The 12,866-nt window shown below is 42.5% G+C and overlaps 1 protein-coding gene across 21 annotated transcripts in view, besides 5 other annotated features; it reads left to right on the plus strand.

Annotated features, from left to right (window-relative positions):
• The window catches only part of CAST (calpastatin), an 813,255-nt gene that overhangs the window by 693,162 nt on the left and 107,227 nt on the right, over positions 1-12,866 (plus strand). For 6 of the 21 annotated variants that reach the window (NM_001750.7, NM_001042441.3, NM_001330626.2 and 3 more), the window contains exon 1: positions 7,786-7,907. The exons of 11 other annotated variants lie outside the window; for them this stretch is intronic. In NM_001750.7, coding sequence (NP_001741.4) covers positions 7,833-7,907 — 75 coding nt within the window. In that variant the 5' untranslated portion in view covers positions 7,786-7,832. Of the gene's footprint in view, positions 1-7,446; positions 7,576-7,785; positions 7,908-8,434; positions 8,577-12,866 lie in introns of those variants that run through there. 4 more of the 21 variants (NM_001330629.2, NM_001375317.1, NM_001330628.2 and 1 more) reach the window with 2 other exon arrangements.
• Positions 2,154-3,353: an enhancer, noted in NCBI's record as "MED14-independent group 3 enhancer chr5:95992448-95993647 (GRCh37/hg19 assembly coordinates)". NCBI's record gives its function as "activates an origin of replication core promoter dependent on BRD2, BRD4, P300/CBP and CDK7 cofactors, and independent of MED14, by STARR-seq in HCT116 cells {active_cell/tissue: HCT116}" and the evidence as "EXISTENCE:reporter gene assay evidence [ECO:0000049][PMID:35650434]".
• Positions 7,439-7,940: an enhancer, noted in NCBI's record as "H3K27ac hESC enhancer chr5:95997733-95998234 (GRCh37/hg19 assembly coordinates)". NCBI's record gives its function as "activates a minimal SCP1, AML or CMV promoter by ChIP-STARR-seq in primed H9 embryonic stem cells {active_cell/tissue: H9 hESC(primed)}" and the evidence as "EXISTENCE:reporter gene assay evidence [ECO:0000049][PMID:30033119]".
• Positions 7,439-8,092: a biological region, named in NCBI's record as "H3K27ac hESC enhancer GRCh37_chr5:95997733-95998234".
• Positions 7,503-8,092: a silencer, noted in NCBI's record as "silent region_16192". NCBI's record gives its function as "represses an Ori minimal core promoter by ATAC-STARR-seq in GM12878 lymphoblastoid cells {active_cell/tissue: GM12878}" and the evidence as "EXISTENCE:reporter gene assay evidence [ECO:0000049][PMID:35858748]".
• Positions 8,283-8,562: a silencer, noted in NCBI's record as "silent region_16193". NCBI's record gives its function as "represses an Ori minimal core promoter by ATAC-STARR-seq in GM12878 lymphoblastoid cells {active_cell/tissue: GM12878}" and the evidence as "EXISTENCE:reporter gene assay evidence [ECO:0000049][PMID:35858748]".

Genomic DNA, 12,866 nt, shown 5'->3' on the forward strand with positions numbered 1-12,866 from the left:
TATCTTCTAGACATACACAGCATAAGCTTTTACTTGACTACACTCAGATGTTATCAAGAGTAAGTTCATTAATAACTTGCTGTTATATCAAAATTGGAAAATGAAAAGTAAGAAAAAACAAAAAAGGGGCATCTGGATTTTCAAGAATATTGCAATACATTTGGAAGTGGAAGCTGAGCACACAAGAAGAGAACAAATAAAGACCATGTATATTTGTGTTAAATTTGGGGAGGGCTCACATGATAAAAGACCTTCATAGCTAGCTCAAAAGTTAAGACTTTCCTTTTATTATTTTTATTGTATACTATGTGTTTATTGCAAGAACCATTAAGAAATATAAGAAACATTAAGAAAACATAAACTGGGAAAATAAAACCAAAATAGAATTACCCAAATGCTCACATCTAGTTAATTTCTTGATGTATAGCTCTATCTTTAGCTCTACAATGTACATGCTATTTTATAAATACATTGTCCTTCTAAGAGGATACTGAATATTTTTCTGTGTCAATAAATATGGAATAGAAACCTTTCAAGACCTATAGGTGATCAGAAAAGGACAAAAAAGATGTGGGGCAGAGTGATGAGCAAGACCTGATGGTGGGTAAACATGTCCTGCTACTTGAAGAATGTGCAGGATTTAGATAACCAGATGGGAGATGTCTCTCGGAAGAACAGCAACATGGAAAAATGCAGGAAAGGGAAAGTGCATGCACGGGTCATGCATGGTCCAGTAGGGAGACCAGTGTGGCTGGGAAGCTGGCTTTCTGTGGATAAGAGGGAAAAGGCAGGGAGAAGGATAGACCCAGGCAAAGAGAAGCTTTAGAGTACCTATTCTTTATCTTCTCTGAAAACTGGACAAGAAGAAATGGATTTGAATGGCAGTCCGCAGTCAAATGCAGATGGCTCTCCACATAAAGAGAATTGTTACAAATGATCTGCAGTAGTGAATGAAAAACTGGGATTCCCCTCTAGAGAGCTTTAAAAAAGGACAGATGTCTGAGCTCAAATAAGGATCTACTGCAGATACTTGCAATGCATTTGCCTTATCTTAGCTCATCTTAGTAGTAGGCAATTTAACAATATATTCTGGCTTACTGTTTTTCAAACTGTGGGCACAATAGTTGGTTATGACATTTAGTGAGTCATCATCAACAGTTTAAAAAAGAAATTTGAATAAAGTAGAACAGAAGTTGAATATCAGAATATGCTGCCACTGTTAACATTCTCAAGAGCCTATTTGTGTAAATCGGGATTTTCAATCTTCAGCCAATTAAAACAACAAAAAAAATCTGGCTGAACAGTGCACCAGAAATGCAGGTAGCATTATCTTCATGTGTCTCAGACTGTAATAAACATGAACAGGCAAAGATAGCTGGAGCATTAAGTAAAATATTTCCTAATTTTTAGTTTTTATTGTTTGTTTTGGATTTGTTTCCACTTTGTGTTTACAGATGAATAAAACATAGTTCACATTATTCATTGTTTTTACCTGATCATAGATAATGAAGAATTGTTCCATGAAACTTCATGTTCAAATCATGTGCATTTATATGTACTAGTTGCAATGTAAAATGTATTTCTTACTGAGGACCACGGGGAAAAAAAGTTTGGAAAAATTACTGAGAACTTTACTTAAGAACAATTTGTATACTCTATGCATATTCTGCTTAGTTTCTGAATTGGTTGAGACTCTTGGTTAACAAATAACAGAAAAAGCAACTTGTACTGTTAAAACAAAAATGAGGGGAGATTATTTTGAAGGCTATAGCGTACGTCCCAGAACCAAAGCCTTTTGAGTGCAACTGGGCCTCACTAGAGAGTGCAGCTCATTAAGTGGAAGGTCGTAAGGAAGCTCAGCCCTCTTCTGTCTCCTCCTATCTCTGCTTCCCTGGCAGGCCTGTTCTTTCTTCCTGTGCGGGCTGACTTTCCGGGTCCTCAGTTTCCACAGTGAAGCCCAGGTCTACATGCTTCACGTTACGGTTTTTAGCACCCAGAAAGTTTTTTCCTCTATCTTCATCTTAATTTCATTACTCAGTCCCCACCTCCCAATGAGGAAAGAAAACCTGCCCGTTTGGGTCAGTTCAAGTCAGGTCTACCATTGGTCCAGTCAACTGTGGGCTGTGGAGAAGAGGGATAGAGCAATGGGGAGCCATGATGGGATCTGGAATTCTACTCCAAAGGAGGAACAGGGGTGAGCCGGGCAGATATTCCAAATGGCCCCTGGTGCATGCTCTTAACTCTTCTTTCTAGAAACTAGTGAATTCTTATATATTGATTCAAAGGAATCAAGATTCTGCATGTGCCCCAAATGACTTTGAGTATTAAATCCAAAGAGACACTTTTTCTTAATTAAAAAAAAACACTGTGGCTTGCAGGCAATTGAAGAACCTCTTAGAAATGGCACATTTCTTTATACAATAATCTGAGCTGGAAACAAATGCAGGGAAAGAAACAAAAATGAAAACAAACCTGACACCAATAAATATGTAATGTGAAGTGATCTGCAACAAGAAGGATCAAGACTATTTTATAATCAAACACCAAAGAGAGGTGACCTTAGGCGTACCTTGGAACATAAAAATCTTGCTTTGCAGGATGGCTTTATTTTCTGCCTTAAATCTAACCAAAGAGTTTGCAGTATTGTGTGGTTTGGGTGTGGCGGTAGAAGCCTGGGGTGAGTCACCATGATGACCAACTGTGGTTTCTTTTTTGCTATAGTGAAGAAATGTGGTTTGCTCAGTGTATCGTCCCAATCTACATGCCTTCTGGATAGGCTACAAGAAATACCTATTAATGGACAAAAGACAGGCTGAGGGAGGAAATGAAGTCTAGGCCTGGGAAAATTTAGATGACAATTTTTTGAGTGGGAGGGAGTAGGTTAGGATATATAGAAAGGAAAAGATAATTGATTCAAAATCTTCAATATGACAAGAATATGATAATTCTTATAATAAAAATTGATTCCTATGAATGACTTGGTCTAGATATATTCCAGACAGAAATAGCACATTAAAAAATTAATCTAGCTTTGGTAAATATTTGAAGCAAGCAGTTGGCTGTACAGATATTTGGGCTGCAAAAATTTCTATATAGAAAATTAATTCCATAAGATGGTGTTTGTGAGTGGGAGAAAAATGAAAGTTAGTGGAAAGTGGCAAGATTTCAAAAATATAACTTGATTTCCAGAGATACACTTGCTAGTCTGAAAATGTAATTTTGTAGGCCAGGCACGGTGGCTCACACCTGTAATCCTAGCACTTTGGGAGGCCGAGGCGAGTGGATCACATGAGGTCAGGAGTTCGAGACCAGCCTGGCCAACATGGCAAAACCTCATCTCTACTAAAAATACAAAAATTAGATGACCGTGGTGGTGGGCACCTGTAATCCCAGCTACTCAGGAGGCTGAGAGGCAGGAGAATCACTTGAACCCAGGAGGTGGAGGTTGCGGTGAGCCGAGATCATGCCACTGCACTCCAGCCTGGACAACAGAGCGAGAGTCCATCTGAAAAAAAAAAATGTAATTTTGTGACTCAGTTTTCTGTGTTGCCTCCAGATCTGAGGGGCCATGACGAACTTGCACCTATCCCAGGACAGGAACACGGGAGTACTTTGGGTTTAGTAAGTTCATTACCATGCACACATCATCCCAAATTTGGTTTCTTGTTGCCTAACAAATGTTAAAGTTATTTCAAATAACCAGCCACTCTATCAGCACATACACAAAAGAAGCAAACCAAAAAGAAAAAAAAAAGGAAATGGAAAAATGGAAAAAGCACCCATTATTGGGAATGAGTACATCAGCGTGAATTCTGGCTGCCAGCTCAGGTATGTGGGTCTGGATTAGAGCTTTCCTAGGGTACTGCTCAGCTGTGGCTCATTTTATGGTCTACAGAATGTCTGGAATGCTGGTTGAATGGAAACAGATCTATAACATTCATTGATTGGACAGGAGGTTGCTTCTTACTGGGGATCCAACAAAAACTGCTTTGCCCCTGTCCAAAGAACATTCAGGGGTTTTGAAATTTTTAACTATTAATAATAAATGCAATTTAATAATTGCAACCAGCATTTATTTGCACAATTATCATACATGAGGCACTGTGCCAAATGCTTTAATACACTGCCTTATTCCATCATCAGAATAACCCTAGGATGTAGGTACTCAGCTTTATCATCCACAGGTAACAGGTTAGGGAACTGATATTCAAAGTGATTAAGTAATTTGCTTGAGGTATGCAGTCCATAAGTGGCAGAGCTGGGATTTAAACATAGTTGTGTGGATCTAAAACTCTTATGCTTTACCCACTATGATGTATTGCCAAAATATGGCAATCTCCAGCAAATGCGATGTGGTATCTACCTGGATGTTTCTTTGGCTCTGTTTTTTATTTCTTTATAGGATTCTCTTTCAAGTATATATTTATATGCAAATCGATTCCTAGGTAGAACAGCCAGTTGGTGGAGCAGTCAAAACACACACAACATTTATCAATTAAATTCTCTGTCTTCTATGGGTGCACTATGTGGTGCCCCAAAATAATTACAATAGCAACATCAAAGATCTCTGATCACATATCACGTAACAGATATAATGAAAAAGGTTGAGGTGTTGCAAGAATTACCAAAATGTGGGTAGACATGAGGTGAACACACATGCTGTTGGAAAAATGGTGCTGACAGACATGCTCGAGGCACGGTTGCCACAAGCCTTCATTTTGTAAAAAACACAGTATCTGTGAAATGCAATAAAGCAAAGAGCAATAAAATGAGGTATGCCTGTATTTACTTGTCTGTCTCTTCTAATTGTAAAGTCCTTTAGTGTAAGAGGTCTACAGTACCTCCCCATAGCAGGCATCTGTTACTGAGTAAATAAAGGAATAAATGATTACCTATGTGCAGACAGTAATGTGGCAAAAGCCATTTATTTATTTATATTTAGTTTTTGTTTTTCTTGAGACAGAGTCTCACTCTGTCGCCCAGGCTGGAGTGCAATGGGACAATCTTGGCTCACTGCAACCTCTGCCTCCCTTGTTCAGGCGATTCTTGTGCCTCGGCCTCCTGAGTAGCTGGGATTACAGGTGCGCGCCACCATGCCCAGCTAGTTTTTTGTATTTTTAGTAGAGACGGGGTTTCGTCGTGTTGCCCAGGCTGGTCTCGAACTCCTGAGCTCAGGCACTCTGCCCACCTCAGTCTCCCAAAGTGCTAGGATTACAGGCATGAGCCACCGCACCATCTATATTTAAAAGGAGCTTCCCCAAATTAGTAAATGCTGGTCCATGATATCAAAGTTCCAATAATTCTTCACTGGCTACAAGGAAAAGCAAAACATCAGGGTCTTCAGCTTCTTTGAAATTCTTCTGTACTCATAGTCATTAATGCATTGTTTAGCAATTGTTCTGCTTATGTGAGTTCTGACTTTTAAGCTAAGCCTGAAGGTTAGGGTTATTACCTCTTATAGATTTTGATACCTAATATATCATGTATTAGTGTAGCTGCTCCACAAACAATGAGCTGGTGAATAGATTGATTACTTACTCCATTACATAGACCCTCCGCTCCAGCCAGGTGAGTGGGTTCCTCTTTATCTCGTCAGGTGCCCCCACCCCTTCTCCTTCTGTTCACACCTCACCAGCTAGCCAGCCTGCTCATGTCTCCTTCCTCCTTTCCCTCCTATTGTTGATACAACCCCTGTGGAACCCCAAACTCCCAAAACACCTTTGTACTTACTCACACACTGTTAGGTCTTTCAATATCCCTACACCATCATGTGTTACAAATGCCATATAACTTCAGCTAAACTGTCAGTCCCTGGAGGACAGGCAATGTATCTTTTTAATCTCTATATCTCTCCTTCTACTAGTCCTTTCACAATGTTTTACATAGAATACTCTCAAGAAATATATAACTGGTTTAAACTCAATTTTTAAATACTCTGTTGGAAAATAACCTCAAACTCTAATGCCACCAAGTCACTGGAAACCATTCCAGAGTTTGAATAAAGTACTCCAGGGATCTAAAACCTTGATTCTGGGATATGTAGGCTCCCCAGTAAGAAAATCATTCTAGTTCCTGGGGTGGAGGCCAGGAAGGAGGAGCTGCCTGTCACCTCACCCCTACAGCTTTTGTGTTTGTTTAAATTACTGTAGTGGTGTGGTCACAATCATAAGAAGATCTTGTTTTCAGACTTATGGCATAGTTTCCCTCCTTTCTGAATGTAACCGATGCCAACAATCATTTGTTTTTCCTGAGTGGACATAGTCCCAATATCTAAGTTGTTTCATTTTTATGTATAAATTCCTGCAGTGCTACCTGTTTGTTGAAATACTAGATACACAGACAGTAAGTACGACACTTTAAGAGGAAATGCATTTAAATCCTCTTCTCCCCGCATCCCCTCCCTCAAAATTAAGAATGCTGCTAGCCTATCCTTTGAAGAAGAAGTCAGAATTCCTAAAATGAGGAGGTACAAAGGAAACCAGAATTCTGTTCTGCCAGGCTCCATATAGCATGACAAATCTCTCCTTAAAATCTGCCTTCTGGCCGGCTGTAGTGGCTCACGCCTGTAATCCTAGCACTTTGGGAGGCAGCACTGGGCAGATCACTTGAGGTCAGGTGTTGTTCGAGACCAGTCTGACCAACGTGGTGAAACCCCGTCTCTACCATTAAAAAAAAAAAAAAAAAAAAAAAGCTGGGTGTGACAACGCGCCTGTAGTCCCAAGTACTTAGGAGACTGAGGCAGGAGAATCGCTTGAACCTGGGAGGCGGAGATTGCAGCGAGCAGAGATCGCGCCACTGCACTCCAGACAGAGCGAAACTGCCTCTCCAGAAAAAAAAAAAAAAAAAAAAAAAAGGCTCTGCCTTCTCTCTCTTCAACTGTCTAAACCCCAACGCTGCAGAAAGCGGTGACCCCAAGTCCCAGAATGATGATGCTACTGCAGGGTAACAAACAGGTTTTCTGTCAGGCCTGATTGTGAACCAGCAGCAACTGCAGGCTGACAGTTTCTCACATAAGCACGTAGGGCTTGTTAAATTTCACTTCCAGCCCCAAACCAGGAAGCGCTGTTTAAGATGAGCCCAAGAAGAAAGCAATCTAGCTTCAGAAACAAAACTCGCCAGACTCTAGAAAGACTATAAGGGTTTAAATTTGGGACTGTTCTCCGTTTTGCATTGGAACCTATGTTCTCCTCCCCATAAAAGTTTATTAAAATTCGAAACTGCCAAAAAACAAAGTAAAATCATATAAAACATACACAGGCGCGTGCACGCACGCACACACACACAGACCAATTTGTTTTTGTGATCCGCTTCCTTATCTAGACTGTCCAGGCTTGGGCCAGATTTGAGTTGGTAAACTCTCGCAGCTAAAGCGGAGCAGAATGTAGAAAGAGTATCTACTTCTCCGGATTGTTGGGAGGAGGGTCGAAGCGTAGACTGGCCACGCCCGGGTCCCGCTCTCTCGTTGCACAACTGCAAGCTAGATCTGGGCATCGAAGGAGGAACGCTGCAACCTCCAACCCCTTCTTTCTGACCAACCGGGACCAGAGCAGTGCTGGGGCCGGGGCGGGTCACCGGGTGAGGACCGGGGCGGAGGGTGTTAAGTTACAGGGCAGGAGCCCGGGTCCCTCCGCGGGCAGGAAGGGGAGGGCCCATCGGGGCTAGGGGAACCCCGGCGCAGACCTGGGGTGGGGTCGGAAAAGCTGTTTCATCGCCCGCTCCCGGGCCCTCCGCTCCCTCCCTCCCTCCCTCTCTCCCTGGCAGGACTCCCCGCCAGGCCTCCCCGCCACTCTCCGCGGCGCATTCCGGGAGGCAGCGGCCGCAGCGGCCTCGCCATGTCCCAGCCCGGCCAGAAGCCCGCCGCCTCCCCGCGGCCCCGGCGAGCAGCCGCCGCCCGCCGCACCCATGAGGTGAGTGGCGCTCCTGTCGGCGTCGCGGGGCTGGGCGATGGGGTACCGGGTCCCGGAGCTGTGGCCGCCCTCCCTGGGCGTTGCCAGGCTGGCGGGTCTGCAGTCCCCGGCGCCCCCGCGGGGCAGGGAGAGGGCTAGGGGCTTGGCCGCTGCCAGGCAGGTGGCTGCAGGTGGCTTCGGTTCCCCGGCCGGGTCCAGTGCGCTGGGCGTGGCGTTGGCCGGGTAGAGTGGAGGGGGGGACGCGTCAAGAAAAGTTGGCTGGTAAGACGTGGGTGAATGAGGATGAGGATGAACGGGGAATGAGGTTCACTCAGGACCCCCGAGTGAGTGGGGTGGTTTCACTGGACAGCGGGATGTAGTCTTCCGCGCTAAGGCCGGGCCGCAGGGCGTGGCTGCCTGGAGACGCAGAGCCTCTTCCCTAACCAGCCTCGAGCCAAATTGGGCGGGCGAGGAGGGGCGGGGCCTGCGCCGGGCCCCACCCCCAGGGTTCTGCCCACCTGGCAGCCGCCTTGGGATGTGCGGAGCTCAGTGCCAGCCCGGTCCCGGCCAAGCGGAGTGTGAGCCCGGCGCCTCCAACGCAACACCCCGCGCCCTCGCCGGCTCCCCCGCCGTGCGGATCGGAGCCAGCCGGTTGTTGCCATGGCATTCGCCAGCTGGTGGTACAAGACGGTAAATAGGAGCGGTTGTGCCTGGGCAGGACCCGGAAGGGAGTGTGTTGGAAGGGAGTGTGTTTGCTTTGCCCTTCTGGGCGTGCGGATGAAGCGTTGTCCGGGGTTTGGCGGGGAAGGGGTGCGGACCGGGTGCGACCTCCTCGCAGACCTTCAGGTTAGGCTCGGGGAGAGGCAGGGGACTCACCCTCTTGTGGTATGTATGAGCGCGCCCGAGCGTGCGCGGCGCATGCACCTCTCTCGCCCCGATGTCAAGCACTATGCTCTGCTGGCGCTCACAAGTGGGATGGAACTGGAATTGTTGCTGGAGGAATTCTGTCTAGGAGGTGGATTCCTGAATGCACTAGGACGCAGCTCGCAAGAGCTTTGATCTAGAGTTCTTTTTTAACCCCTAAGTAAAGTTCAAAACTTTTAGAGGGCGATTGTTGGACGTACATTCGCCGACGCAAAGGAGAGGCAGCTGCAATGTGAGGCAAGGAGAAAATCCCAAACATCAAGGGGCAGAAGCAACTGAGATCTGAGACCAAGACCCTTGGAGAGAGCGGTGGAGGGGTGGAGGAAAGAAAGCGAGAAAGTGAGAGAGGGAGGGAGAGAGAGACAGCGCGCACAAAAGCGAGCTTCTCTGCACTTTATTACTTTGGATGAGGGACAAGAACATTCCATTTGTTTGGTGCATTGAATGTTTGTCCTGCCAATTAGGTGTAATATCCAGTCAAGCTGGCACTTCTAGTGTTTTGGAACCAGGAAGCATGATTTAACATTAGATTGCTTTCCAAAAAAAAAAAAAAAAATCACACACAGGAGTTTTGTTGACAGTGAGAGCCAAAATGTTTATGTCTCATTGATTTATGGTGAGAATTAAAAAATTAGGTATGTCTTTTTCTCTCTTGGCATGTGGTATTGGAAAAAGCAAAGATGTTGGAATCAGACATTCTTTGGAGCTAGCTACCCTGTATAAGAATCAAGAAAGAAACTGTTACTTATCAGACAATGGACATTTATTGATCATCTATTATGTGCCAGGCAGAATTATATCCCACAAGTAGTGTTTTTTTTTAGATTATTTTTTATTCTCCGTTTCTATATAAATAGTATATATGTATAGTGTGTATGTGTGTATATTTACAGTGTGTGTGCATATATATATTTACACATATATGTAAATATATGTGTGTGCATATATATGTAAATATATGTGTGTGTGCATATATATGTGTGTGCATATATATGTGTAAATATATATATATATGCACACACACACACACATACAATATACTGTACAGGGTCTCTCTCACTATGTTGCCCAGGCTAGTCTAAAACTCCTGGTCTCAAGCAATCCTCCCACCTCAGCCTCCCAAAATGTTGGATTACAGGCATGAGCCACTGCACTGGGCCTACAGGTGCTTTTTAAAGCCTCCATGTACACTGTGGAGAACAAAGAGTTTTTCTCAAATGGAAATAAGTCAACCTTTTCAACCTGTTTTCACATGTGTAAAATAGAAATTATATGCACTACATAAGTATTGGTGAGGACTAATTAGATTTAAAAGTCAAAATGTCATACACATATACTTTTAAGAATTTGGAATTCCAATTTCCCTTGAGATACTTCTTCATGAATGTTTTCCAGTACATTTCCTGGGCTTTTACATGTAGCATTTGATTGATGTGGTAAGAACAAACCACATCAATTTGCTTTGAGTCATTATTGGCCTAAGGTTCTTATCAAAATGTACCATGTACCTTATCTGCAAATATGGATAGCAGTAGTTCAGAGTTGACATCAAAATTCTCCTTCCAGACTCATGATTCTCTCAAGGAAACTCTGCTGGGTTACTTGGATGAAAGTAGTTTGAATCTATGCTTTTAACCCTGTTTTGTTTAGTCACAGTCTGATGTTTTTGCTAAAACCTCTCTTAGAATCCCATTTTGGTACTACCATGAAAACTTTTTGCTAGTAGGAACTTCCTAGAACCAGCTACATGCCTGTGATCAAGCTTTAGCTTTGCCCAAACCAGTGCTATTCAATAGAAACATAATGTGAGCCACGTCTGCAATTTCAGATTTCCAAGGAGCCACTTTAACAACAACATCACAACAAAAAGCAGGTGAAATTTGTGCTAATTGATATATTTTACTTAACCTACTATATCCCACATATTATTATTTCATCATGTAATCAGTGTATAAGCCATTGAGATATTTTACATTCTTTTTTATACTAATTCTTCAAAATCCAATGTATATTTACATTAACAGCACATCTCAATTCACACTTGCCACATTTCAAGAGTGTTCAGTAGCCACAAGCAGCTAGGGGCTATAGTAATGGACAGTATAGCGCTAGACCATGGACTCCTAAACTTTCTTTTTTTCCTTTGGTGATAGGTGGGTGGTCACAGACAATTTTGAGAATCAAATGGGATTTATGGACTGCTTTCCCACAACAAAATACATACAAACATACACAAAATGCAGTTTCCAATATAGCTTCAGGGAGTTCAGAGATTTCCAAAAGACCACCCATAAATCCCCCAAAGGTCCATGGAGCCAGTTTATAACACACACACACACACATACACACACACACACACATATACATACACACATACAAACATATACAATCCAATATACATATATGTGCATATTTATATATAATACACACATGCATGTATAATACATATGTAGACATCTAGATTTATGTGTGTATGTATCTACAGATATAAATACAGATGTCTGTCTGTATGTACACATGCATGTATAATACATATATAGACAGATTTATATGCATATATATCTACAGATATAAACACAGATATCGGTATATACACAGACATCTCAGAATACTTCAGGTAAATCCTATAATTAAAATATCTTTGTGGAATCCTTTAAGTACTGAAAAGGTTATAAATGATCTAACTTTCAAAATTTAGGCAGAATAAAATGAAATAATTAAAAGACATGTCTCAGATGTGTTCGTTTAACAGCATGCCACCTATAAAGCTAGTCAGTGAAACGTTGCAATGTATATTTCCACATTGAATGCCATCAATCCTATTGACTTTATCTTCTGAAAAATGTGGTTGTAGTAAACACACACACACACACACACACCACACAACTCTGCAGAGCTAAATTTGAAGAACATCTATGAGCTATGTAATGATCAAGCATGAACGAAGGTTAATTTGGCCCACACCAGTCATCACATTCCTGAATCATCAGTTGATTCTATTAGACTATGTTAATTAAAGGTGTTTCTTAGCCTAATTAGATCCATAGACCTAGTGACAGCATGATCAAGGAGCCCAGTCATTTGGGAGGCCCCATCATTGCTGCCAGCCTGGGAAGAATGTTGCAAGCCTTCCATGGCAGGACAGATCACTTGCTCACAGTGAATTTTAGAACTAAGGAAGGCAAATAACAGGGCCTGCAAAAAGGGCATAGACTTTAGGGTAATGGAAACATAGAGGTCAAATACAGCCTTTCTCTTTCAGCTGACAGTCTTTGAATTAGTTCGCGCCCCATTGTGTATAAGCCTTTTAAACCAAGAGTAGCATCTGATAATATCTTTCTTTAAATCAGTTTTGGCACTTCCCAGAAGGTTAATTATATTCTACAGGTGCCTTTTAAAGAATGCTATAGCCTTCTGGGGGTGGGAACAGTGGGGGGTCATGTGAGATTCCATGTGGATAGGTGGGTAATTAGTTCTGACTAGATTGTCTCAGCAGATACAAAACTACTCTAAGTAGTACATCATTTTTCCCCCTTGAGGTATTTTTAAGATGAAAATCATATTAACAGATACTAAAGTTCTGTTCTTTGAGTTGTCTCATTTTCCTTTCATGAAAACATACCCAGAAAGCTTTACAGCCACCATAAAGGCGGGGGGCAGGGGGAAGTATATCAGATGTCTTCCAGTTAAGAAAAATGCAAGAACAGTTCCATCCAATAAACACTGTTCATGTAAGTTATCTCCTCAGATGGAAAAGTCAGTTAACTCAGGAAGAAAAAGGTCTAAAGTTATAGTTTCCTAAAAATGTATGAAATTTGTTTTGGTTGTAGGAAACTCATAGAACATAAGAATAAATTTGGTAAAGCTCAAAGATGTTCACAGTTGTTTATTGTCCACCTGCTGTGTGTCAGTTTTGTGCAGAGTGCGGTGGACACAAAAAAATCGTGCAGTGGTCTGTGCCTGGCCTCCTCTTGCATTTCTCATAGATAAAACTACAAGTTCATTCTCATGACAACTGCTGTGGCAACAAAGCAACTATTTAAATTCTCATGATAC

The sequence above is a fragment of the Homo sapiens genome, chromosome 5 (assembly GCF_000001405.40).
Source record: "Homo sapiens chromosome 5, GRCh38.p14 Primary Assembly".
NCBI lineage: Eukaryota > Metazoa > Chordata > Mammalia > Primates > Hominidae > Homo > Homo sapiens.